General features: G+C 44.6%; 1 protein-coding gene across 16 annotated transcripts, besides 1 other annotated feature; it reads right to left on the reverse strand.

Annotated features, from left to right (window-relative positions):
• Nucleotides 1-301: 301 nt before the first annotated feature.
• Nucleotides 302-24,985, reverse strand: NSFL1C (NSFL1 cofactor). 16 transcript variants are annotated; one of them, XM_011529300.3, is made up of 11 exons: nucleotides 24,856-24,985; nucleotides 22,465-22,562; nucleotides 21,569-21,577; nucleotides 16,336-16,410; nucleotides 13,850-13,855; nucleotides 13,103-13,268; nucleotides 12,349-12,441; nucleotides 11,167-11,276; nucleotides 10,629-10,766; nucleotides 3,802-3,966; nucleotides 302-2,047 (listed from the first exon to the last, which is right to left on the reverse strand). In XM_011529300.3, exons 1-11 carry the CDS (start codon nucleotides 24,958-24,960, stop codon nucleotides 1,885-1,887), a joined length of 1,128 nt encoding a protein of 375 aa, XP_011527602.1. In that variant the 5' UTR covers nucleotides 24,961-24,985; the 3' UTR covers nucleotides 302-1,884. The 16 variants fall into 16 exon arrangements, 15 of the variants coding, with proteins under 15 accessions (XP_011527602.1, NP_001193665.1, XP_011527603.1 ...); NM_001206736.2 differs by lacking the exon at nucleotides 21,569-21,577; XM_011529301.3 differs by lacking the exon at nucleotides 13,850-13,855.
• Nucleotides 24,214-24,715: an enhancer, noted in NCBI's record as "H3K27ac hESC enhancer chr20:1446723-1447224 (GRCh37/hg19 assembly coordinates)". NCBI's record gives its function as "activates a minimal SCP1, AML or CMV promoter by ChIP-STARR-seq in naive H9 embryonic stem cells {active_cell/tissue: H9 hESC(naive)}" and the evidence as "EXISTENCE:reporter gene assay evidence [ECO:0000049][PMID:30033119]".

Genomic DNA, 24,995 nt, shown 5'->3' on the forward strand with positions numbered 1-24,995 from the left:
GTGTTTTTACAATCTCTTCTGCAATATACTAATTAATTAAGCAGACACTGTGAGAAGGAGGTAGGGGGAGGTCAAGTGTATGTATATGGGCCTGGCAGTTAGGGATGGAGTGTATACTGCACTCCATGGTGGCTGAACGTGGGCTCTGGATGGGAAGAGGCAGTACCTTACCACTTACTAGCAGTGTGACTGGGGCTCAAGGTTTTGCACTGTAAAGTGGGACCTTTGTGAAGCACTTAAGTACTTCTGCTGGCTGCTGTAGTTTCCGTCAAAGCAACCCATTAGAAAGTACAAAACTCCATTGTCCTCATTCTGGTTTTTAATGGTCAAGGTGACAACAGTGTACAGTTTTTCCAGACCCATATGTAGGTTCCATAATCTCCACCTGCTGGAGAAAACACCGTGACAGATGCCATTGCCCCAGCAGGCCACTGCCGGTGTGGGAACTTTGGGATCAAAAGCACCAAGCCAAGTCCCTTGCTCAGGATGGGTCTTGGTTGAAACCACAAGCCCTTCTGCAGTTCTAGGTGGATGTAGTGTTGGTTCTTGGCTCATTGCAGGGGTGAAGCAGGAAAGAGAAAGAGACTGGTGAGGCCTGCTTGGAAAGAGGATTGAGGCACATTACGATTCCAAACCAGGAGATCCTGAGTCAGCACTGATTCTGTCTCTGGTTTGTTTAATACGGGAAAGGGTTCCATCCAAGAGCCCAATAGGCCTCCTCTCCCAAACCTGCATAGCAATCAAACTTATAGGGGTGGTGGAGGGTCTTTACCAGGCTAGGACTACTGCCTATGTTTCTGCAAGTCACAAGTCAGCAGGTCAAAGAACAAGTGTGAAGCAGAACCTGCTAAGCAAAGCCAAGTAGTGACACTCACTTCCAAAACATACCCAGCAGAAGCCTCCTGCAAGTACCAACAGTGACAGGTGCTTGTAGCACAGAAAACTCACCCCTTCTTCAACAGTTGATTTGATTTGCCACACATCACTAGTGAACAGCTCGGTGGCATTTTGACTGTTTATCTTATAGGGCAAGATACCCTGATTCTGAACTCACTTAGGATGGGTTGGCATGAGCTGTATCCTAGTGAAAAAAAATATCCCACCTACCTCCTAGGTCCACTCAAGACTTCTGCACGTGGAGTAAATCAAGCCATAATGGAGCCCCTGAGAATCCCCAGGAGGCGAGCAGTCTGGATGGTAATGGAGGAAAGGGCCAGGCAGGCAGGTGGAACAGAATCTCAACTGGCCAAGACCTGGCAAGATTAGATACCCCAGGGGTTGAGTAAAAGGAGCACAGGGAAATATTTATTTTCACCTTCTGAAGACACTGTGTGCATGGAGCTCTGACTTCCCACTTCAGGGAACTCTGGCTGCCGCCCAGTTTTATCTGGGCAAGTGACATATTCTCGTGGGAACAAGTGGTGGCGAAGCCTCTTTCTACACATTTCCCCTCCTTCCTCCAGTCATCTGTGGGGCTGGCGGGTGGGACACACTAGTGAATAAGCATTGTGTGCCACAAGTTTTTATGCAGAGAAGATGGAAGGAAGTTTCCTCCCACAGGCCCCAAGATAAATATAATTTTAAAGCAATTAAAGCCTGCTTCAGTGGGAGAGTTTCCGTACAACATGCTGGTGATATTCCTTCAATTTTTTTGGTTGTTTTTATTTTTTTTTTCATTAAAGTCCATTGATCATCACAAAAACCCAGGAAATGCAACTAAGGAGAAAACAAACGTCCAACCAAGATCTAAGAACCCAGAGCTATGGAGGAGACGTTGCACTGGACTGCTGGGTGTGCACAAGGGGGCAGGAGGGGCGATCCCCATGGGGCATGGCCACTGGCCATGGGAAACACAGGAGGGAGGCCAGGCAGCTGGCTGGGCGGTTATGTTAACCGCTGCACGATGACAGCATTGAGCAGGTTGGCTTCCTTCAGGGTCTGGCTCTCATCAGCCAGCTCTTTGTTCGGGAAAGTAGTCATGAGGATAAAGCTGGTGGCAGCCATGGCTGGCCGGGCATCCACGATGAAGAGTCGGATGTCGCTGATCCTGCAGGAGTTGGGGAAGCGGTGAGCAGTGCCATCCTCTGCTGTCCATACCCCTGCCCTGTGGAAAGCTAAACACCTCGCAAATCCCCTTTCCTGACTTTCTCCACAGAACAGCGAAAGCTACGCTCAGGCATGTGGGACCAAGTCCCTTCCTTGCCAAGAGTCCTTCACTGTTGTTTCCATTTTCCTTGAGATAAACACCAACAACCCTACTGTGTTCCCAAGGACCTAATTTTATACCACCCTCTTTCCCCTCGTTCTCTTCTGCCCGCTTCTAGTTCATCAGGCCATACTCTCTTCCCACATTTGGGTCCTTCTTTCCAGAGGCTCCCCTGCCTGATCCCCTTTCTGTAATCCTAATCACAACTCAGGCCTCGGATCCAATGCCACCTCCTCAGGAAAGCCCTCCTTAGCTCCTTGGCTCCATCCCTGGCCCTCCTTCCACGTTTCTGGGATGATCTGATTAGTGTCTCCTCCTGCAGCTCATGAATTTCACAAGGACAGTGTGTGTCTCTTTTGTATATCACAGGAGGCACTTAAACTATCTGTCAGAAATTAATGGTCAACTTCTCAGGGCCAGGAATCGTTTCTCCAGACACTACCTGCCTTCTGAACCTGGAGATCATATGACAATGAAACCACCTGGAAACAATGCCTCCTTCCCTAGAGCACTTAAACATAAGTTTCCTTTTTGCCCCAAACCCCTAAAATCTATGCAACTTACAATTTGGCACATCTAAGGGCATGGACCTGCAGGATTCTGCCTGTGACTTTTAGCAAACCAAGCTTTTTCACCTAGCAAAGCCTCTGCATGGGCTGTCCACCCTGGGAATGGGCAGCAGTGTGCTGAGCTTAATGAGTGAAATGAAACTGAGACAAATAACTCACATCACTGGGATGGGTCACTCGCTTAACCACCAGGCACTTGAGTGTAATGAATGTTCCTGATGAAGGAGGTCTCAATAGGCTCTAGATGCACCTGGCTCACAGCTGGGGCTTGTCTCCCGCTGTCACCCACAGGCGAGCCCAGTCAATATTCAACGACTGACAAACAATTCACTGATCCCACATGTGGGTGCTGGCTTAGTTGGCTCATGACCAATAACATTTAGACACTTCTGTTCTACAGAAAGGAGGCACCAAATATATTTACTGGCAACAGTCCTCTAGCACCTCTCCTACTAGTCTCTTCACTTTGCTGTGGCTCAGTTTCCCCATCTTTAAAATGAAGAAGGCACTGATCCAGCCCAGATGGTCTGAGATGTGGAGCAGGCATTCCCAGAATTCTCGACAGCCAGATCTAGAAGAGATCTTCCTGGCCCAGTAATTTTCACAGGCCCCTTGTGGGGAGGGAGGTGGAGGAAGCCAGGTGAGTGGGACGCTGACACTGCACCCCCTTCTCCTCCATCAACCACAGCAGTTCTAATTTGATGTCTTCACAGGACTTTAGCATGGGACTTCCTCTGAAGTCTGGTAGCTTAAAAAAAGCCCTGAGAAATCTAATACTCTAATTTTACAGATGAAGAATGAGACACACAGGGGGAAGTGAACAGTCACTGGCCACACTAATGGAAGAGTGGGGACCAGAACTTAAGGCTTCAGACTTGTAGTCCTTACCACCCTCGTGTCTGCTTTGGGGAAAGCATGGAGTGCCTGCTGGTATTTAGGAGGAAGAACGGCTCTCTGCTTCCCACACATTTGCGTGAGGCCCAGAGGACACTCCTAGAATAAGCTAGGCCACACAATGCAAGGTACCTGTGGCTGTGGTTAAATTTCTGCACCAGCCTCCCGCCGTCTGCAAGCCGAATTTGGATGTTTGTGGTAGGCTCTGATTCGTCGATTAAGATGGAAGAGCTGGCTTTGGCTTCATTTTCTGCCTGTTGGGCTGGAGAGCTGGTACTCAACACCTGGGGGGCAGTGCTGAGGAGAGAGGATGGCATCAGAACACAAGCAGAAACAAGGCCCCTAGCAAGAAGGGAATCCCTTCTTGGACTGTTACTGAGCATTTGCAATGCGCCTGGCATTGTTTGGTGCTGCTGATCTATTGACCCAGACAGGGAAAATCGTGCCCTTATGGAACTTACAGGTCCAGCAGAATTCACTTCAAACCCTGAGTCATATATTTCATACGTTATTGCTAGCTCCCTCGCTCCTGAGTAATGTGGGCAAGTTACTCGGCCTTTTTCCTCCTTGGTGTCTTCAACTGAACAAGGGCTTGAAGGGAGGAAAGCAGGACAGCCTAGGGTGGGAGAGACAGGGTCATAAGGCTGGAAGACATAATAGAACAGGGTCAGTTTTAGCCTCAATGGAGTGGTGGAGGGGAGTGTTCCAAGTCTGCAGCTGAGGCAGCCTTGGCACAGCCTGGCAGGTGAGTGGCAGGATGCAGGCAAAGCAATCCAGATTCTTCTTCTGTGATGGAATTTTCAGGCCTGCATTACCTAGTGCACCTCACTCCCATGTGTATCTGTACTCATACATCCACTATTGAGGGCAGGGGAGAGAGTTCTAAAGGGCACTGAAAAGCCAATTAAGTGCTGGGTTCTGCTGGGATTCATCATACAATGAACAGGACACGGTGTCAGACACAGTGTTAGATTTCATATCTCAGAATCACATGGACCAGGGTTTGAATTACTCAAGCACCCTTAGTTTCAACAAAGGTAGTAATTAGATTTTTAAAGGGTTAAGGCATAGGCCTTGCTCAGTTTTTGTTAGGATTAAAGGGGAAAATTGCATAATGCACTCAGGATGGCTGACAAACACAAAATGCACATAGGACTCCCAATTCTCCACAACTGTATGGAGCCGCCTTCTCTCCTCCAAACCACCTGTCCACTTCACTCCCAGTCTTTCTCTTAGCAGATGACCTGACTTAGACCTTTGCAAAGAAGAAAGGCCACTAGATGAGCATTTGCTTCCCCTCAAAGCCTCTAATTAGATCAGTTCTTGTAACTTACTCTTCCCCCTTCACAGCCCCAAAAATGGTACTGAGAGCAAATCCAACTGAAAGTGCTTTCCAAAGTGTGTTCCATAGGAAGGAAGGTGTAGGAAAGGCCACATATTACACTAGCAGCTTCAGAGGCCATTGGCACATTAAAGGTTTTGAGAGATTGCACAGTTAAATATTGCCCTGAAGCATATAATTAAAGAATGACTGAAAAGCAAACTTACTCTTTTCTGTGAATGTGAAAAACATGGACTTACAGAATTACAAAGTAGAGCTCAGAGGAGAATGTCACCCACATTACTAGCACTAGAGAAGCTGCTTCTCTGCATCAGCCTCAAAGCATGTGGGACTCAAAAAGTGTGGGCTGGGACACACAGTTTAAATGACACTACGATAGGCCACAAGAGTTGATTGGAAATAGTGAATAGGTAAATCTCATATACCTGTAAATGCCTAAGCTCTGCACCAAGCTTGTCCAACCACCCATGGCTCATGGGCCGTATGCGACCCAGGACAGTTTTGAATGCAGCCCAACACAAATTTGTAAACTTTCTTAAAATGTTATGAGTTTTTTTTTTTTTTTGCTTTTTGTTGTTGTTAGCTCATCAGCTATCATTAGTATCAGTGTATTTTATGTGTGGCCCAAAGCAATTCTTCCAAAGTGGCCCAGGGAAGCCAAAAGACTGGACATTCCTGATCTACACTATCTCGTTTTGTTCATTAGTTTCACAGACATTAGGTTAACTCTCCAATTAGACTTTAGGCAGCCTGTCCCTCAACTATTTATAATAATTCAAAGTATACGTACTCATTGAAACCACCGCCTGCCAGAAAGGGAACTATAACGTTTTCAGGCAGGCCTAAGATGAGAAAGAAGCTGTTAAGCCAAAATAGCTGATATCAGTTAAGGGGGTGGGGAGCAGAAAAAACAGGAGTGACATTTACACCGACTCTGTGCAGGTATTGTCTAAAGGGGCTTTCACAGCCACGACCTCGCTGAATCACCACAACCATCCTCTGAGAGGGGTGTATCTCCATTTTATAGATGAGAAAACACACACACACGCTATGGATCATTTTTAAAAACTAATGCAATGAACAAGCCTCCTTTCAGTATATATTCTGTGTATTCCCACCAGCCAGGATTTTGTCAAGCTTTACAATTACGATGGTTTTAGAAAAATAATATTTATATTGGAAATGCTTTCTCAAACTTCTCCTTGAGTTTCACTCCTCACTTATGAGCTGATGACCCTCAGCAAGTTACTGAGCATCTTGGCACCTCAATTTCCTTTTCTATAAAGTGGAGATACTCTCCTTACCACAGCTCCACGCCTTTTGGGGAAGCAGTCCCTACTGTCCCTATTATCAAGGAGAGTTGGTGTGATGCCAGAGAAATGGCACAAGCTTTGGAGCTGAGCCACCACCATTTGGCCTCTGCTCTGCCTCTAAACAGACAGTGTGGCCTTAAGCAAGTCACAACTTCCCAGGGCTTCAGTGTCTTTGTGTGTAAAATGAGGAGCTGTTCTGTTGTGAGGATGAGACGAGATAATGTGCACGCAAGGCCTGGTATTTAGGAAATCCTCCACACAAGGAAGCAGCTGCTGTTTGGGTTTGCTTCCCAGCACGTCCCATTGCAGACTGCTGGTGGGTCATCACTGGAAGAGATGAGGAAAGCCTGATGCCTGGACTTGGCTGTGTAGCTTCTGACTGGCTGTTTCTCTTACACACTCCCTAAAAATTAGGTGAGGCAGGGTGGCCTGATAAACATGGTGACTATTTATGAGGCACCCATTCCTAAGCCAGGCCCTGTGCTGAGTACTTCACATGTATTAACTTACTTAACCCACAGGCTTAACCCCCAGCCTATGAGGTAGGGATTCATTACAGATGAAGAAACTGAGGCACAGCAGGGTGAAGCAACTTGCCCAAAATCCCAGTGTTGGTTCACGGTAGAGGCAGTATACAATCCGAGCTATTTGGCTCTCCATCCTGTGCTCTTCACACTGTCCCACTCTCCTGTTGGGCCTTACACTCAGACAGGTATAGGCCTGGATTTCAAGACCCAGTTTCCTCATCAATAAAACAGAGTTAAAACTTCCCAGATACTTGAGAAAATAGCTAAAAACATGCACTGTACCCAACACATACTAAAAGTACAAACAAATGTCTATGTGGCTATGCAAGAATATCCAGGATGCTATGCAGGTTGGCAGGTAAAGGCAGAGACTGGAGGGACCCAGCTCTGCACTGGCCAGCAATATGGATCTCACCAAGTCTCAGGATCCTTCTTTGTAGAATGGGGATTAAAACAGGATTAAAGAAGATAAAATAAATGAAATACTTAGCATAGCGCTTAGCTAACAACATAAAACACTCGACTAACTAATTATATCATTCTTCAAGGTCCTGCCCCACTTATATTTGCCTCAATTCTGGACCAAAATCGACTAGAAATGCTATCAGCTGCCATGGGCTGTAAGTGGAAGGTCACCTGACAGGCATTCCCAGTCTATACTGCTCTCAAGGAGGATGGGGAGTGGAAGAGGAGGGGAAACCTGAAGACCAGGCCTCCTGATTTTTCAAATAATAAGAGCACATCATTCAAAGAATATTAGTTCCATAGTGCTCTAATCATCCCGCAGGGCAGCCACACGCATCTGTTCAAAGGAGCTGGCCTGCCAGCTCTTCCTGAGAACTGCCAACAGCTGGGCTACTGCTCCCAGTGAGCGGCTGGCCATCTGCAGCTGTGAGGGTGCTTGATTCACAGGCAGGAAAGGTTAGAGCAGACGTCTATAAATAGTGTTTTTTGGTGTCTCCCTGCAAACATCGTAAGTTATGGGGAAAATGAGTCTCAATTCAAGAGCCCGAATCACCCAACTCCTCCTATCTTTACAGGGGGAATAAACTGGCACTAGGTACTTTCTTGCCACAGTTACAAATCCTGAGACCAGCCATCTTCTCCACAAAAATAACCACTACAGAAGGCACGGGAGCAGCTAAAGCTCACTTCCAGCAGCAGTGACCCCTCCTCCCAAGTGCACTCTTGCTGTTTGCAATTCGAACCTTCAGATCAGCTCCCAACTCAAACAAACTAACGTAAAACCTAAAACAACAACAAAATTCTCCGGTTTCTCTTCAGATTGTATACATCTTTTGCCTTTTACTAAAACAACAAAAAAAATTTAATACAACTGAATTTTCTCAAAATATTTTAACTGAGACAACTTATTCATTCACTTGAAGTATTTTCCCAGATAATTAAGATTTTGAAAAAGCCCAGTACTGACTGATTTTTGAAGCAAATCTGAGAAAATTTTCAGGAAAAATTTCAAGAAAAGTTCAAGACTTTTGGCTTCTGATCATTTTGGTTCACAAGACAATGAAAAACATAGTAAAATTTATGAGAAAAACTAAAGCAGCTGTCCTGATTTAGACTGAAAAGCTAAAGTCCCATCTCACTTAACTTTATAAAACTGTGGCTGTTTTTTTTTTAAGCTAAGTTTTCATAAAAAGCCAGAACTGAAATAAAATGCAAGTGGAACTGGCAGTGAACACTTTGTTGATAAACATCATGGTGATATCAAGTTCTATCTTGTGCTCATTCTCCACATTAATATTTATTCCTATCATGCTAAAATAGACTTTAAAGATATTTTAATTTTCTGAGATGCAGAGTTTCACACACATAATATGGTTAGACTTTCCAATAGAAACATTTCCTGTTAGTATTATAAAATCATACCCAAAGTGCATGGTGTTCTGAAGTTCTGAGCCCTCCCTTGTAACTGGTGGTGGGCATAAAAAATATAGCCTTTTTGAAGGGCAATTTGACATCTTAAAAGTATGAAGCCCTTTTGAAACAATAATCATATGTCTAGCCCAAGTGTACAAAGATTTAATCACAGAGATATTCACTGCAATGTTGTAATTCTGGTAGCTGCCTAAATGTTTAACAGCAAGGACTGGTTAAATTATGGCACATTTATGGGCTAGAAAATTATGTAAGCATTATAATTAAAAGTGTAGAAATAAGCTTACTGATAAAGGATGATAGCCATACTTCACTGATAAAGTAAAAAGCAGGTGATACAACAGCATGTTTACAAATACATGCAAATGAGTAAGAGAAGAAAGATACACTTGCCAGATATTTCTGGGTGTTAGCTTCAGGACAGCTTTTATTCTTTACCTGCACTTTCTATTAAGATGAACATGTATTATTTTAATAATCAAAGAAAAAAAAAATTAGGTGCCCTATAAAGCTCATCACAACTGACAGGGACACTCTCTGTGAGAATAGCTGTCCTGGGCTAGTCCACAGCCCTTGATGCAGTAGATGAAATGATGAGAACAGGGATGACTTAACTACTTTGGGCCAGGTAAATCTAATACCCTGAACTCTGACCCTTGCTCCTGATGAGGCATGAATGGTCAACAGGCAGGTAAGGGATTCCAGGAGAGGGCCAGCCAGAAGCTCAGAGGGCATGGTTGTTGGAAGACCAAGCTTTGATCTCTGAAGATAGTGAGGTGAGCAAGGGCAGTAGCTACTTTGAGAACTGCCAGATCTAGGTTAGAAAGGATGTCTCATTGTGCAGGAGTGCAGGAAGGAATGCCAGTCAGAAGGCCTGGGGTCTTGGCTCTAACACACACCAGCCATGTGCCCAAGGAAAGGCCCCTAATATCCAAGAGCCTCAGCTTTCTCTCTACAAAATAAGGATCATATTGGCAAGGAGGGTCACTATGCTCTAAATGCCTATCATGTGCACAGTTCCCTCTGAAGAACACTCATCAGGTGACCCCATGGCCATGGCCAAAGCTAAGTGGATCCTGAGAGAAGGCAGCCTACCTATGGGCTGGCCAAGAGTCTGGTGGGAGAACCGTATGAGGGATACCAGTGACTATTAACCAATCAGATATCATCAGAGGCTTTGAATGGAAGATAGAGAATGTCTGTTAGTAGAGGGTACAGGAGTGAGAAGGCAGTAGCAGAGGACACAATGCAGAAAAAGTCACAAGTGGCAGAGTGAGTGTCAGGAAGGGCCAAATAAGTAGAAATAAGAGCTGCTGAGCTGTCATAATGGTGGCACACCAGCCTGCAAAGGGGCAGCAAGGTTCCTGAGTGTCCCTGCATCCTGAGCAACACACTGTGAGGCCTGGCTAGGCAAGAGTCTGTAATTTCTTATTCCCCTTGGAATCCTCATTTCAGCCTTAAGCCATCAAGGAGATGACACCTTCCCTGAACACCCTAGATTACTGAGCCACAGCAGCAATTACGTACACTTTCTGCTTACATTGACTGCTCACTATGGAACAGTGTTCTACATGCATCAGCTCACTTATTCCTTGCAACAATAATCCTAGGAGGTATGGACTCTTATTAGTACCAATTTATAGTTGAGGAAACTGAGGCTATATAGTCCAAGGTCACACTGCTAGAAAGTGAAGCAGAGATATAAACTCAGGTCTGTTAACTCCAGTCCATGTTCTCCACACTCTTCCTCCCATACAAATAAAATTTGAAGTATTTTGTAAACAGTAAAGAGCTAATAACCAAAGTGAGTGATACACAGGGTCTGCTGGGCTTGGCAGGTGTGATTGACAGAGTCTGGCTCTAACCTGTGCTGCCCCTTACCTGCCCAGTTTCTGACCCTCGCCAGTGAAGGCTTTGAAGGCTCCTTTGGGCTTCACAAAGTCCTCGTCCCGATGGTCCTCCATATCCAAGTTCACCTGTCCACCGTGAGCTAGCCTCCGAAGCTCTGCTGGCACCTCCCTGTGGAAGAAAAGGCCATGCTGAGGTCCACAGAGAGAAGATGGAAATGACAGTGATGGGAAAAGGGGAGAAGAAACCTCTCAGTCCCGTGGTGAAAAATCGCTGGGCCTCCAAAGGGAGCAGGCTACTCTGGTGGCTACCTGTCTGCCTCCACCTTTTCTCTTGTTTGTTCAGCCATGGCCGACACCTATTTCTTATTTGGCCACTTAGGTCTGCCTCAGGCCCAAAGGGGAAAAATGGACATACAAGGTTTTTGGAGCAGATCTATGAATCCGTATCTCAACTATGCTGAATCTGCTTCAAACAATTTACTCCTCAAATAATAAACATTCTGCCTCCTCCTTTCCCAACTGCTATCCACTCACTGATTTGGGACCTACAGGAGGGCTTTTTCACTCACCCTCTGCGGATAGACTCCAGAAACTGGGCATTGGATGGGTCTTGGTAGCTTCTGAGTTCTCCATTATCCAGGCTGAATCCACTCTTCCAGAGTTTCAATACTACATGAACCTGTGATGACAGGGAGTAAACAGTTACCAGGGATCTGGCAAGCATACCAATTTGAACTTGCAAATTAGCAGGTTTTTACTATTTCTCAGTGTTGCTACTATTAAAACACACATAGAGACACACATATATACATGTGTGCACAAGCAACTCAACAAGCAAACTAAATAAGCATTAACCTAGAATAGGAAGGTGGCCTAGCACAGACTAAGAGCAGGGGTTTTGTTTTAGGACACCTGAGGTTGCATCTTGACTGTGCCACTCACTAGCTATATGGCTCTGGGCAGGTGACTCAATCGACGCTTTGCTTGTGCTTGGTATGCCGTGAGTGTCCGACTAAACTACCATGGCAAATCTTGCTCATGGACTATTCCACAGTCATTAAAAATGTTATCTACAAGTTCTGTTCACAACAACTCCCACACACATTCACAGCAAAGGGTCTAGAAGGCTAAAAACCAATGCATTAGCAGCTGCCTCGGAGGATAAAATTTTTATTTTCTTCTTGCTTGACTTTATTTTGGAATAAAACCCAAAATGATTTAAAACATATTATAGAAATTAATGATCACAAGACTACAAGAAGATGTTTGTGGTATAATATTGAATAAAAAAGACTCAAAATTGTGTGTATGATTACACTTGTGGGGAAGGAGACCCTATGCACAGGGCTAAAAAGTAGTGGACAATGAGGAAAACTAAAAAAAAAGAAAAGAAAAATTGGTGTTAAGTCTTCTCTGGTGGTCTGAAGACCAAGTTCTTCAGCTATACTCGCATCACTAGAGAACCCCAGATACACTGTACCTCTGCCTGAGATCCATGGGCTGCTCAAAAAACTCCTTCATTTGCCCATCCCCTTTCCCCACCTGTTCTCACCAGCTCTCTCACCCAGCACCCAGGAAACCTCCTTTGATTTTCCAGTAAGCGTCTTTGTTCGTGAACCACAGCAAGGGCACTGTCTCTGTTAGTTTCCCTTTCAGAGGCTGCTGGTTAATGCACAATATGTAACCAATCCCTTCAGAAAAATGGCAGAACAGTCCACAAGCTTCCCTCATGGGAAGGTGGATGCACTCACATCTTGGCTGGAATGCTGCCTCTTTTCTCCTGCCACATAGGCAGACTCTTCCTCTGGTGCTGCCCCAAGGCGGTAGCCACCTCCTGCAAATGGCTATAAGGGACAAGTTCATACACATTTAAGGGGTTGGTCCATGGTACAAGGGTTACTCAGATACAATGATATATATATCTTAGGTAAGAGGAAGAAAGAGGACAGGGTTCCTGATCAAGCTTGTTAGCTACTAGATGCACTTTCTCTGATATCAGACTCAGTGCCTACATGCCCAGGCAGTATGGTAAATGAATTAGGTGGCCAGAATTGGGGTTAAGAGCTGGAAGGGGCAGTGCCTGGCTAAAGGAAACAGATGCTACTAAACTCTCATTAACCGTGACCATGTAGGAATTTGGGTACAAGACAATATCAAAGACTTTTTGATTTTCTCAAAGGAGACAGAAATCCCGATTTTATATAAAACAGATGACTATTAATTCAAGTAAAACAAAATAAAACACTAAGTCAGTCAAATTTGATAGGCCAAACAAAACATGTATGCAGAACCCAATCTAGACCATAGGCTGTAGGTCTGAAAACTCTGCCCCAAATCTTGGTTTCACGTTAAAGGGTGAGATAAACTACACTCGTGTTCCGCACAGAAGACCAAGTAAGCAAATGAAAAAAAGAAAAAAATCAGTCACTACCGGGGTGAAGAAGGTGGCATTCCCAGTTCTGGAATCTCAGTCCTGTGGGCACAGACAATGACCCTTATACTCACTCTCGGTTTACTGGTCTCTCCAGGGCTCTTGGTCACTCGCTCCACAGCTACAGCTCCATGCTCTTTGGCACCTTTAAAGAGATCATCCACCAGCTCGTTGGGACTTTTCTTCCTGGGAGGGCCAACAATCTGCTGTCCACTTCTCTCTGAGCCCCCAGCATAAAACCTGTGTACAAAATACACCTCTAACATGAAACACTCATGGAAAACATGAATAGAGCATGTGCCAGGTTGGTGCTGGGCACACTGAGGCAAAGGGTACAATGCTTGTCTTTAAAGAATTTACTGGCTAGTTGGGAACACATGGAAGGAGGCAAGCAGGTAAAATGCAGTGTGAGCAGCAACAGAAGTCAGTGAGGGAACACTGGGTGGGAAGGACAGCCAAGGCTTCCTTTAAGGGTGTCTTCTGGGCTGAATCTTGAGGATAAGGATGAGTTTATCAGGTGAACAAACTGGGGAAAGGCATTCCAAGCATGCAAAACAGCTTATCAGTTCAGGAGAGAGTCTCAGCTGGGACTATCAATCTGGTGGCCAGGCTCCTCTCCAGGAGACAGTGACTACAGTCATAGTCAGAAGTAGCTACCACTAGTGACTTGGGGTTAATGGTGGCACTGGCATGGTTAGTACAAGCAGCTAGGCTCCAGTCTTGGCTCTGCCACTGTATGTCCTGGGTAAGCCAGTGCACTACTCTGTGACTCACTTTCCTTGTCTTTGAAACGGGAGGGAAGGACCACATGCCCTACCTACCTGCTCCTTAAGTCAGAGCCGTGAGGTTCAAATCAGCAGATGTATGCAAAAGAACAAGCACAGAGTAATGCACACAGGTAAGGTGGTGTGACACAGCACCAGGAGCTCCCCCAAGCCTCACCTCACCTTGCCATTCATGTGACACACACTGTGGCCCCTGAGGAAAGGGTACTGGAGGTCAGAGAAGCTCCAATCTCAAATACAAGCCCCAAGACACCCACACTGGGCTTTGCAATAGGCCAGGCATGGCTTGAGATAATAAAGTTAGTACTTTTTTATATGGGCCTGAAAACCAGTTGTCATGCAGCCTGGCCCACTGCCTCCTTATTACTCCTATTCAGAGCTAAGTCAACAGCTTGTCCCCAAGCAAGAAAAATTGAGAACCTATAAAAATTAGTCTCAGCCCTCTATTTCCTGACATTCACCAGGGAATGAGAGGCAAAGCCACAGGCCCCGACAAGGACAACAGTACCAGTGTCCTTTCAGGTCTGAAATGCTGAGGGGTCAAGGAAGTAAGCGGAATGTGAAATAAAGGAAGGTCACTGCCTGGAGGACGTGACTGGGTGGGAGGAGAACGAGAAAGACATTTAGGAGCTGGGCATTCACGTACTTGATGACACTGCCTTTCACTCAGGAGTGTGAAACCCCAAAATTAACATATATTTTTATATCCAGAAGTATCTAAAAGGAAGGTTTTGAGTCGGTGTGAAGGTCACAATAGGAATGAAAATAGAGAATAGAACACATGTAATTTCTCAGCCCACTTCCCCAAAGACTGACCATGATGAGATAACTGCATTCCCGAAATAGTTATTATACAATTTTCCTTAGGAATGTCTGACAGACCGAGGCAGATCCTGTGGAGAACCAAAACCCATGAAATGAGGCTGGCGTTCATTCTTGTTCATTCCAGGTAGATGAAGTTCTGCTAAATGGACTATAAAGTCTTTATTAAGGGATCTCAAAGCCCTGGCTTCAGAACTGGGAGCCTGTGATCAAGAGCCTTAAAAATATGCATGCCCTTGACCTGGTATTTCCATTTTTAAAAACTATCCTAAAAAAAATCTGAAATGTGGTTAATTAATCCACAAAAATGTTCATAGCACTGATATTTACAGTAGTAAAACATTGAAAAAAATCTAAATGTCAGGCATCCCATATAATGGATTATTATTATAGCATATGAAAAGGCATATGAAGGATTTTAAGGACATGGGGAAACGTCTGAGATGTAGCATTGATCCAGCAAAACCATATTTATATACAGAACAAAGACTGGATGGAAATATGCCAGAATATCAACCGTAGTTACCAAAGGGTAGATGAGTTTAAGACTTTTTCATTATACTAGTCTGTAGTTTCCATAATGGATATTTTTATTATAATGTTCTAAAGGTTAAAAACAAATAGTTGATGGGTACATGTCTATTGGGGGAAATATACACTTATAAGCCTATTATTCTGTTTTTTACATGATGTTTTTTAAATTAAAAAGAAAAAGCTGGAAAGAAATATACCAAAAAATGGATACCTGGTTACGTATGGACTGTAATATAATGAATAACTTTTTCTTTCTTTTCCTTATTTTTTAAAATTGTAAATTGGCAATTTATAATTGTATATACTTATGGTGTACAAAGTGATGTTATGCTTTAACAATATGAAGTGGATTAAATCAAGCTAGTTAGCATATTCATCACCTCAAATACTCAAAATTTTTGTGGTGAGAACACTTGAAATTAACACTTGGCAATTTTGAAATGTACAATGCTGTTTTATTAACTATATTCATCATGCTGTGCAAGAGATCTAAAAAAGAAAAAGCCCCAAACCATATTCCTCCTGTCTTAAGATTTTATACCCTTTGACCACCATCTCCCCATTATGCCCTCACTTCTGCCTCTGTAACCACACTCTGTCGATTGTTCTAGATTGGAATTGTTCTAGATTCCACACGAGAGCATGCTTTATTTGTGTTTCTGTGCCTGGCTTATTTTAGTTAGCATAATGTTCTCTATCCATGTTGTTGAAAATGACAATTTCCTTCTTTTTAAAGACTGAGTAGTATTCCTACTGTGTATATACACCACATTTGCTTTATCCATTCATCTGCTGGTAAGACACTTATGCTGATCCATAACTTCGCTACTGTGAAGAGCACCGCAATGAGCACGGGAACGTAGACACCTCTTTACAAACTGATTTCAAATCTTTTTAGTCAATACCAAAAAGTGGGACTGCTAGATCTTTTCCTTGTTTCCCTCCCCTAATATTCCTCAATAAATACATTAAGTAACGGAACAGGGGTCACTTCTAAGCTACAAGGAGTAGAAGAGACTTCCTAAGATATAACCCACACAGACCAGCCCACAGTAGTAATGGCTAACAATAACCAAACATGTTTACCAGGTCCTGTTCTAGGTGATTTACACATTACCCTGGACTTCCCTGTGAACTGTCCCCCTGACCCCCTCTAGAAGACTCACCTCTGGCCTTCCTCTTCCTCCTCATCTTCATCTTGGTCATGAATGAGGTCTCTGAAGGATGTCACTCTATTATCACTGGAGACACAGAAAGGAGCAAAATGATCTCAGGGAGCATTAAGAAAGGTAACCCTCATCACCAGCTGCTAAGGAGGTGAAGACACTGAGGTTACATTTTTGGTAGGCGAGAGGAGGACGTTATGTGGAGAAAGGTTAATCCCCTAAGATTACACATAAAATAATGTGGCATTTATTTTTTCAAGATCACACAGATTGAGTATAAATTAGAAAGTCCTATCATGAGGTAAAATGGAATCCCAATTTAAGCTGCCCTGGCTTTAATAAAAACTAGAAAGTATTTATTAATATTTAGGAAAAAAAGCAGTGTTGTGTGGGGTGGGCACAACTAAAAATGAGTACAGACTTAAGTAGTACAGACAGCGGGGAGTAACAGGGAAACTAAGAAAGGCTTCCCAGAAAAATGAAATATTTGGACCAACTGCCAAAGAACTAGTGGACAATCATGGTGATGGGGCTGCTGGGGAAAAGGGGTTGGTGTAGCATTATAGGAAAGCAGCATACACAGTGCACAGAGACCAGAGAGTTGAAGGAAGGACACATAGCCAAGAAGTAGGAATGAATGAATACGAGGGTGACAGCACTGGAGGAAAAGCAAGCTCCAGTGTACTTCTGCTGCAGGTTAGTCAAGAAGTATTTATTTTTAGAAAAAAAGCAGTGTTGTATGGGATGGGCACAACTAAAAATGAGCGTGAGAAGGGTTAATTCTCTCTGAAATTATCTTCCACTGCCACTTTCCACCTAGTTTAGATCTGTCCTCAAGGAACAAGCTTAAGTTTTTCAAGGATCATAAGACAAGTTTTATCAAGATTTAAAAAAATTCTGTATTTCTTAGGGGAAAAAAGCAGCTTCCATATAATATGGGACAAAGAGGGTGACATGGTTTGGCTCTGTGTCCCCACCCAAATCTCATGTTGAATTGTAATTCCCAGTGTTGGAGGAGGGACCTGGATCATGCAGGTGGATTTCCCTCATGCTGTTCTCATGATAGTGAGTGAGCTCTCACAAGATATGATCGTTTTAAAATGTCTGGCACTTCCCCCTTCACACATGCTTTCTCCTGCCACCATGTGAAGATGTGCTTGCTTCCCCTTCGCCTTCTACCATGATTGTAAGTTTCCTAAGGCCTTCCAGCTATGCTTCCTGTACAGCTGTGGAAATGTGAGTCAATTAAATCTCTTTTCTTCATAAATTACCTAGTCTCAGGTAGTTTTTTATAGCAGTGTGAGAAAAGACTAACAGAGAGTAATACAGGTTTAGTGAGGCTTTAATGAGCTGTTTACTAGGAAGAAAGCTCCAGTTCAGTCTTGAAGATTTATTTCAAGGAGACAATCAGGGGACAGAAGAGTTTTGAGGATCCATCAACTAGAAGTGAGAAGACAAAAACCAATCAATGTAGCAAACAAGCTCCCTGCATGAGTTGGCTCCTGAGAACAGTCTGCCGGGCATTCCTTGATGCTTGATATGACATGGTTCAAAAGGATCCAAGTGATGAGATCTGTACTAGTACCCTGAGAGTACTAGTTCCACTCATTCATCTTCCCAAAGGGAATTTTCCATACATGCTCAGCCTAAAGTTTCTTCCAATGACTAGGCTAGGATGAGCATCTATGAAAAAAATATTTTCTATCTCCCTGTTGTTAAACTTTCAAATATATGTGTGTACACTTGCTTGGGCAAATCACTTGCTCTGCTATGGCTTTGTTTCTTTCCCCCAAAACTCATACACCCAGACTCTGATGGTATCCGACATTGATTCTGGTATCCATGTACCAGATTCCAATCCCAATTCTGCCTCCTACCCTTGGGATCTTGGACATGCTATTTAAATTCTCAAAGCCTTCATTTTCTCACATGTAAATAAGACAATCACAGCACCAACCTATGGGCTTTCTGTGTGCAGGTGGGGTACTGATGCACGGAAAGTCTTTTGCATGGTGTGGCACATTTAAGTACTACTCTTGAGTAGCAGTTCTCAAAGTGTGGTCATGGACCAGGAGCATCAGCATTACAGTGAACCTGTCAGAAATGCAAATCCCCAGGCCCCCTCTTAATTCTCCTGAATCAGAGCCTCTGGAAGGGGTATCCAGCAATCTAGCCTTAAGGAGCCCCTGAGGTAATTCCGACATATATTCAAGTTCAGAACCACTGTCTGGAGTAATGCTTTCAGTTACCTTATGGCATGGATGTCCTAGGGATATTAGCAATTGCACAATACTTTTGTCCTATGGTCTCTACAAATTGGCTAAATATCTCAGAAAGTTCAATTTTTCAATATTAGAACTATCTCCCAGGCTACTCTGGCATACTGAAGTGGCACAAAACTCCTTCATCAGATGACATTTTCTGCTTTTAATCCGGTTACCCTAGCTCTGCCTCTCTGTGATGATGGAAATGCTCTATCTGCACTGTCCAACAGAGAAGCCACTAGCCACATTTGGCTATTAAGCATCTGAAATGTGGTTAGAGAAAACGAGTAACAATGTTTGTTTAATTTCAATTAATTTAAATAGCTAGTAGCTACCTTGTTGGATCGTGTAATTTTAGAGAATCAGACAATCGTAGTTCCCGGAAGTTTAAAGTACAACTTTTGCTGGATGAAAGAGGGGAAAAAAGGAAGAAACTGTTACCTCTTGCTTGACCCTGCATACAGGGGTGGGAGGTGCTGGCAGGGAGGTAGCATGTGGCAGCAGAAGCAGCTTTGGACTTAGGCAGACTTCGCCTTGAATCTGTGGTAACAGCAGCTGTAAGTTACTTGACCTTTCTAAGAATTAGCATCCTGACCAGCGAAATGGTAAGCACCTTACCTATTTCAAAGCTGTTGAACAGTATCAGAAGAGAACACAGGTGAGAAACATGGCAGAGCTTTGGTGACTGCTCCTGAAATACTAGCCGTCCCACTTCCAGGAATTTACAATTTACTTGGGGAGAAAAATTAAGTTAAATATCAGGAAAAGAGTTCAGGGCAATGTGGGAGAGATGCCACCCAGTAGTACATGGATATAGTCAAAGAACTGAAGGAGTGATAGTTGTGACTGGAGTTCTGTGGAACAGAATTATGGCGTGCAGCCTGGTCACAGGGTTAGCAATAACACGCTCAGCAGAGTGGGGATGGAGGTAAACATGGAAGGATGCATGGGATTTGTATAGGCAGAAAGCAAGAGAGCGGGCACACCTGATCAGGTGAGAGGCTCAAACAAAAGCAGGAGAACCAAAAATAAGGAAGAATTAGAGCACCAAAGAAATCAGTTTGGTTGGAACAAAGGATTTAAGAAATGAGGAAAAGGGAATCAGATTAGGAAGGTGGGTCCAAGGGTAAACTCTGGAGGACTTTGAATGTCCACAAGAAGAGGCAGAACATTGTTGGGGCTGAGAGCTGAAATGCTGAATGTAGAAAACAGCCCTACACTTAAATCCTTGTTTTACTAGCTCTGTGATCTTGGAAAGATACCCAACTTCAGTGTCCTCATCTGTAAAATAGGAATAGTACTAACCTCAGTGCTAACAGTACTAACAACAGTACTAACCTCACAGGGTTGCTGTGAGGACTAAAAAGATGTTCATGTAAAAGCTTAACTCAGTGCCTCACTCGTAAATACTCAATAAATGGCAGCTGTTATTACTGAGTTTAAACTGTCTCCTATAGCAATGGTTAACATTTTTATGTCTGTCAGCCCTTTGAGAATCTCATAAAAGCCATGGACTCTCTTGCCACAAAAGATACCTGCTAACATGTACACAAACTTTTGCCTGTAATTTCAGGTATTAATAGAGACCTTCTCACGCTCATTTCATAGATTCCTCCTAGGGTTCTCGGGCTCCATATTAAGAATCCTTATTCTAGAGTTGGGTGTTGCTCTGAGGCAGCAGTGACAACATAAAAGGGTATGTGAGAAGTCAAAAGTGGGGGATGGGAGAGGGCAGCAGCTGGCTAAGTGTCCTGCAACTGCCAGGTCAAAGCAGAGGCAGGCCCCACACAGAATTCCTCTGAGGTGCTAGCACAAGTTTGGTTTTTCCTGAGAATGTAGTCCTAGCATTTGCTTTCCTCCTCAACAAGGACAAACCATGCAACACACTGCGCCCTCCTCCCTCCCTTTTTCTTGTCTTCAGTTCTTTTCTAAGCCTACTACCAAGTCTGAGCCTTAACCAGAGCAATAAAGCAATGCCTCTTGGACCAAATGTGCGTCCAGTCTTTTTACTCACTTCAGTTCTAATGTTAAACTCTATGTCCTTGATTCTTTTACTTTTATGCCTTTTTTTTTTTTGAGACAGAGTCTTGCTCTGTCGCCCAGGCTGGAGTGCAGTGGCGCAATCTCGACTCACTGCAAGCTCCGCCCCCCGGGTTCACGCCATTCTCCTGCCTCAGCCTCCCGGGTAGCTGGGATGACAGGCTCCTGCCACCACACCTGGCTAATTTTTTTTGTATTTTTAGTAGAGACGGGGTTTCACCATGTTAGCCAGGATGGTCTCAATCTCCTGACCTCGTGATCCACCAGTCTCGGCCTCCCAAAGTGCTGGGATTACAGGTGTGAGCCACCGCGCCTGGCCACTTTTATGCCTATTCTTAAATGTACATACTTGTTGGGGAATAGAGTAAACAAAACAGGTCAATTGAGAATGAATGCTAAAAATGATAATACTAAAATTATAATAACAACACATGCTGTGTTCTATTTGCTTTGTAAGTATTAACTCATTCAGTCTCCCATGTGGTAGGCACTATCATTACCATTTGACAGGCGAGGAAAATGAGGAACTGAAACGTTAAGTAACCTGCCCAAGGTCACAAAGCTTTTACTTAAGTGGCAGAGCTGGGATTTGAACCAACGCAGTCAGGCTCCTGGGCCCATGCTAATAAACCACTGCCTTAATAGAACTTTGGGATTACTGGAGAAAAGAAAGGAGTAAACATGTAACTGGCATTAGAGACTAAGTTTAAATCTCTCCCCCTCTATAATTCTGACATGCCAACATCCCAACAACACCCTAAGGTGGCTGTCAAAGACTCATACCCCAGAAAATCAGCCATCTCTACTAGCAGCTGCAAGAACAGCACTTACCCTAACAACATGTCCCAAGCAGTAATACCCAGATGTGCCATCACCAACATCTCATAGGTTAGCACGTGCAAACAGTTACAAGATCACTTTCCTCCTACCTCTTTTCTCTGGATGGGAGTTAGGGAAAGAAGAAAGCAATGAGATCTGGGGTTAGTGCTCCTTCTTCGAAGGGAGGAAATATATTTTAAACCTCAGTTGCCTTTAGAGAGAAACATAATTTACCACTTCATGGCAAAGAAACACTGTTGGTTATATTCTGGGGTTGAATTCAAACCCAAATAAAATTTCCTGGCTAAAACATACACTAGAGAGTAGAAGCAATAAGGCGAAAGCAGAGAGGGGAGACACCTCTGCTTACACACTCTCTGTAAAGGTTCAGACACCTTTACAGGAAGCACCCCTGCCTGTCTCCTGGAAGACCAGCATTGTCTCACTCTGCAGAGCACAGGAGTAATCTGCTGTGGGTGCTGTGGGAGGCAGCGACAGGGGATGCAAATGGGATTGCAAAGGTTAACACTGTTTTACCTAGTAAGACAAGGTCTCCCTAATCAACTTGGCAAAGGGTGGGTTACACAGGTTTATTTTGTACAAGACTTCTTAATAAGGTAACGGGCATCCTAAAATATCAAAACAGCTTTCCTAAGTCATTTCGCCTAAACTTTCACATCTATAGCACCCTTGAAAGGAAGTTTTTTGGCTTTTACTTAAAAACTTTAGAGTTGCAGTGGTCATTCCTCATACTACATAAGTAAAAGTCTTAAAAGTAGGTTTGTGGTTTCCCCCAGGATTGAACCATAAACCACACCCAGTTAAAAGTCATGCATCTCTGTATAGGAAATGACTGAGGCCTGCTGGGAAGTACTACCCATTGACTCAGTCTAACCTTCTCATTCAGACCTGGTCCACACACCCAGGCCTGAACGCTCTGGTCAGAAAATAGCTCCTCTTCACTGCTGGAAACACTCATGTAGCGATAATTGAAGCTGGCCCTTACCTGGGGGCTGTGCCTCTGGACACTGAACTGGGGGTTGCCTGCGAAATGGTCACAATGTCTTCATCCCCTCCGTCCTCATAAAAGCTCGCTAGCGCGATCTGAAACAGAGAGGTAGTACCTTGGGACCCTTAAACAGGCCTTCACCTAACGCACATCTCCTTTGAGCACAAAGGAATACAGACATGGCCAACACTTACAAGGTAGCTTGCATCCATGGGCCAAAGAAAATTAGACCAGAAGGTTAACAGCTCAGCTGTTAGTCTTCGTGTCAACTGAAACAAATTCCACCCACTAAGGTGAAAAGAAGGCAGTAAGAATGGCTGGGGTGGAAGACACTCTTTATTCTCATTTTATGAAGAAACGTGATCTAGTAAAAGTAGCACACATTTAGTGAGCATTTACATGCCAGGTTGTTCTGAGCATTCTACATACGTTAATTTGTTTAATCCTCAAGAACTCTATGCTATTAGTACTCTTATCATCTCATTTTATAGTTGATACAGAAGCACTGAGGATTAAAAAAAAATTTGTTCAAGTTTACACAACTGGTAAAGAGAGGAGCCAGGTTCCATCCCTGCTAGTGTGCTTAGGCCCTCACTCTTAAGCGCTTCCAGTACAGCCCGGAGTCAGGAACTGTGGAGTCAGTCCAGGTTGCTACTTTTCCTTTCTTTCAAGTTGTTTCCTAATCTGTGAAATGGGGGTACCTGTCTCACCAACCTGCACACTGGATGAGATAATCCATTAAGATTTATGCATACTCGCATCTTAGGTTTACACATACAGAAGGAATATGGGAATCCTTTGGTCATTTGTGACATCTCTGTCACCAACTCAACGGACAGGCATTCACTAATCACTTGCTTTGCACAAACACAAGAAAGCATTGAGGTCACAGAGATGAAATAGACATGGCCTCTGTCCTCAGGGTCACCAACTTCACAGGAGACAGTGAGCTGTCAAGGGATAAAAGTAATCTGCTGGGAGGCAGTGTGCTGTCTCAGGCCATGTAGTGAACTGGCATTCTCAGGGAGCCTACATTCAAGTCCTGTTCCTGCCAGGCAAGTCACATGCATGATCCTCAGTTTCCCCACTACAATGTGAGGGGAACGAGACAGAAGATCTGTTGGTCACAACACTGTGTGCTTTTAGGTCTTTCAGGTAGAAACTTTTTATTTCTGCCCAGCATAGGGGCTTCCCATTGTGTCTAGGTGTGATCTAGGTGTGATGCTTTACCGAATTCTTATGTTTGGGGAGTAATTTACGTTTGGCAGCAGACTCAGTTCAAATTCCAACCCCGCTACTTACTGGCTATGTGACCCTGAGCAAATTCTTTGCCCTCTGTGCTTCCAATTCCTCATCCATAAAATGGGTCTAGTCTTTACCTCATAGTGTTGCTAGGATCCAACGAATCATATTATGTAAAGTGCTTGGCACATGGTGGTTTAAAGCTTGGGCTCTGTCTGCTTGCAATCAGACAGAACTGGGTTCCACTTCTACCTCTTCTGCCTGGTAGCTAGTGAGGCCTTGAGCAAGTTACTTAACCTCTTTAATCTCAGCTGCAAAATGCGAAGGTTAAATGACAAAAGACATGTAAAGCAGTCAGAACAGCGCTTGGCTCATGGTAGGTACTCAATAAATATTAGTCATCACCGTCATCATCTACCTAAGACGAAGCTGGCCAAGAATATTTATGCAATTCTTTCTACAGTTAATTACCGAATGCTTATTATGTGCCAGGCATTGTTCCAGGCACTGGGAATTCATCAGTGTACAAAAATCCCTGCCTCGTGAAGCTTAAGTCTTCTTAGCAAGTATTTAGTGAATACTCAGTACGTGCCAATGAACTACACAGCAATTTCCACGAGACTCCCATTTTACAGATAAGTTAACTACGCAAGGTGAAGAAGCTCCAACCTTGCGCCACCACCCCAGAGGTATTCTCCCAGCAATTAGGAAGGCTGGGCGGCGGTCAACTCCCGGGCTGGACTTCGGAAGTGGAAATGAGCGGCCACCTAGTCCCGAGTGGGGCTTCACCCAAGAGCTGCTCACTCGGACCAGCCCGGCCTCCAGCAGATACTCGGCGCGGCAGCCACGCCCCCAGGCGCTCCCTCTCCTCGCCGGCTGCCGCAGCGCCCGAAGTCTCGCTGACGCCGCAAGCGGGCGAGGCAGGGTGAAACTGGCACGGCAGAACTGGCTGGGGCTGGCCCGCGTTCCCCCACTCCCAAGCCGAGCAGGCGACGCGTGACAAGCGGTCCCGGGACCATGAGGCCTGGGTCGGGCCGCGGTAGAGCGGGGATGACTGTGCGCTTCGGCCGCCGCGGGCTTAAGGCACCAGGCGCCCGCTCCCAGCAGTCCCCGGCCCACCCGACACAGCCCGCCGCGCGGCGCTACCTGCAAGTCCCAGCCGGCCGACTCGAGAAAGAAGCGGGCCCGGTCCTCCTCGGCGCCCGTCACCGCCACGAACTCCCTCAGCGCCTCCTGTCGCTCCGCCGCCATCTTCGCCCCGTGCGCCTTCCAAAGCGCTCCGGCGG

The sequence above is a fragment of the Homo sapiens genome, chromosome 20, assembly GCF_000001405.40.
Source record: "Homo sapiens chromosome 20, GRCh38.p14 Primary Assembly".
Classification (NCBI taxonomy): domain Eukaryota; kingdom Metazoa; phylum Chordata; class Mammalia; order Primates; family Hominidae; genus Homo; species Homo sapiens.

Excerpts from the sequence above, each read along its gene's own strand:
- NSFL1C (XM_011529300.3), bottom strand. The coding sequence starts at position 24,960 with ATGGCGGCGGAGCGACAGGAGGCGCTGAGGGAGTTCGTGGCGGTGACG. Across the intron at positions 12,442-13,102 it reads GAGAGACCAGTAAACCGAGA|CCATTTGCAGGAGGTGGCTA; the intron begins GTGAGTATAAGG and ends TGTCCCTTATAG. Across the intron at positions 10,767-11,166 it reads CTGGAGTCTATCCGCAGAGG|GGAGGTGCCAGCAGAGCTTC; the intron begins GTGAGTGAAAAA and ends TTTCTTCCACAG.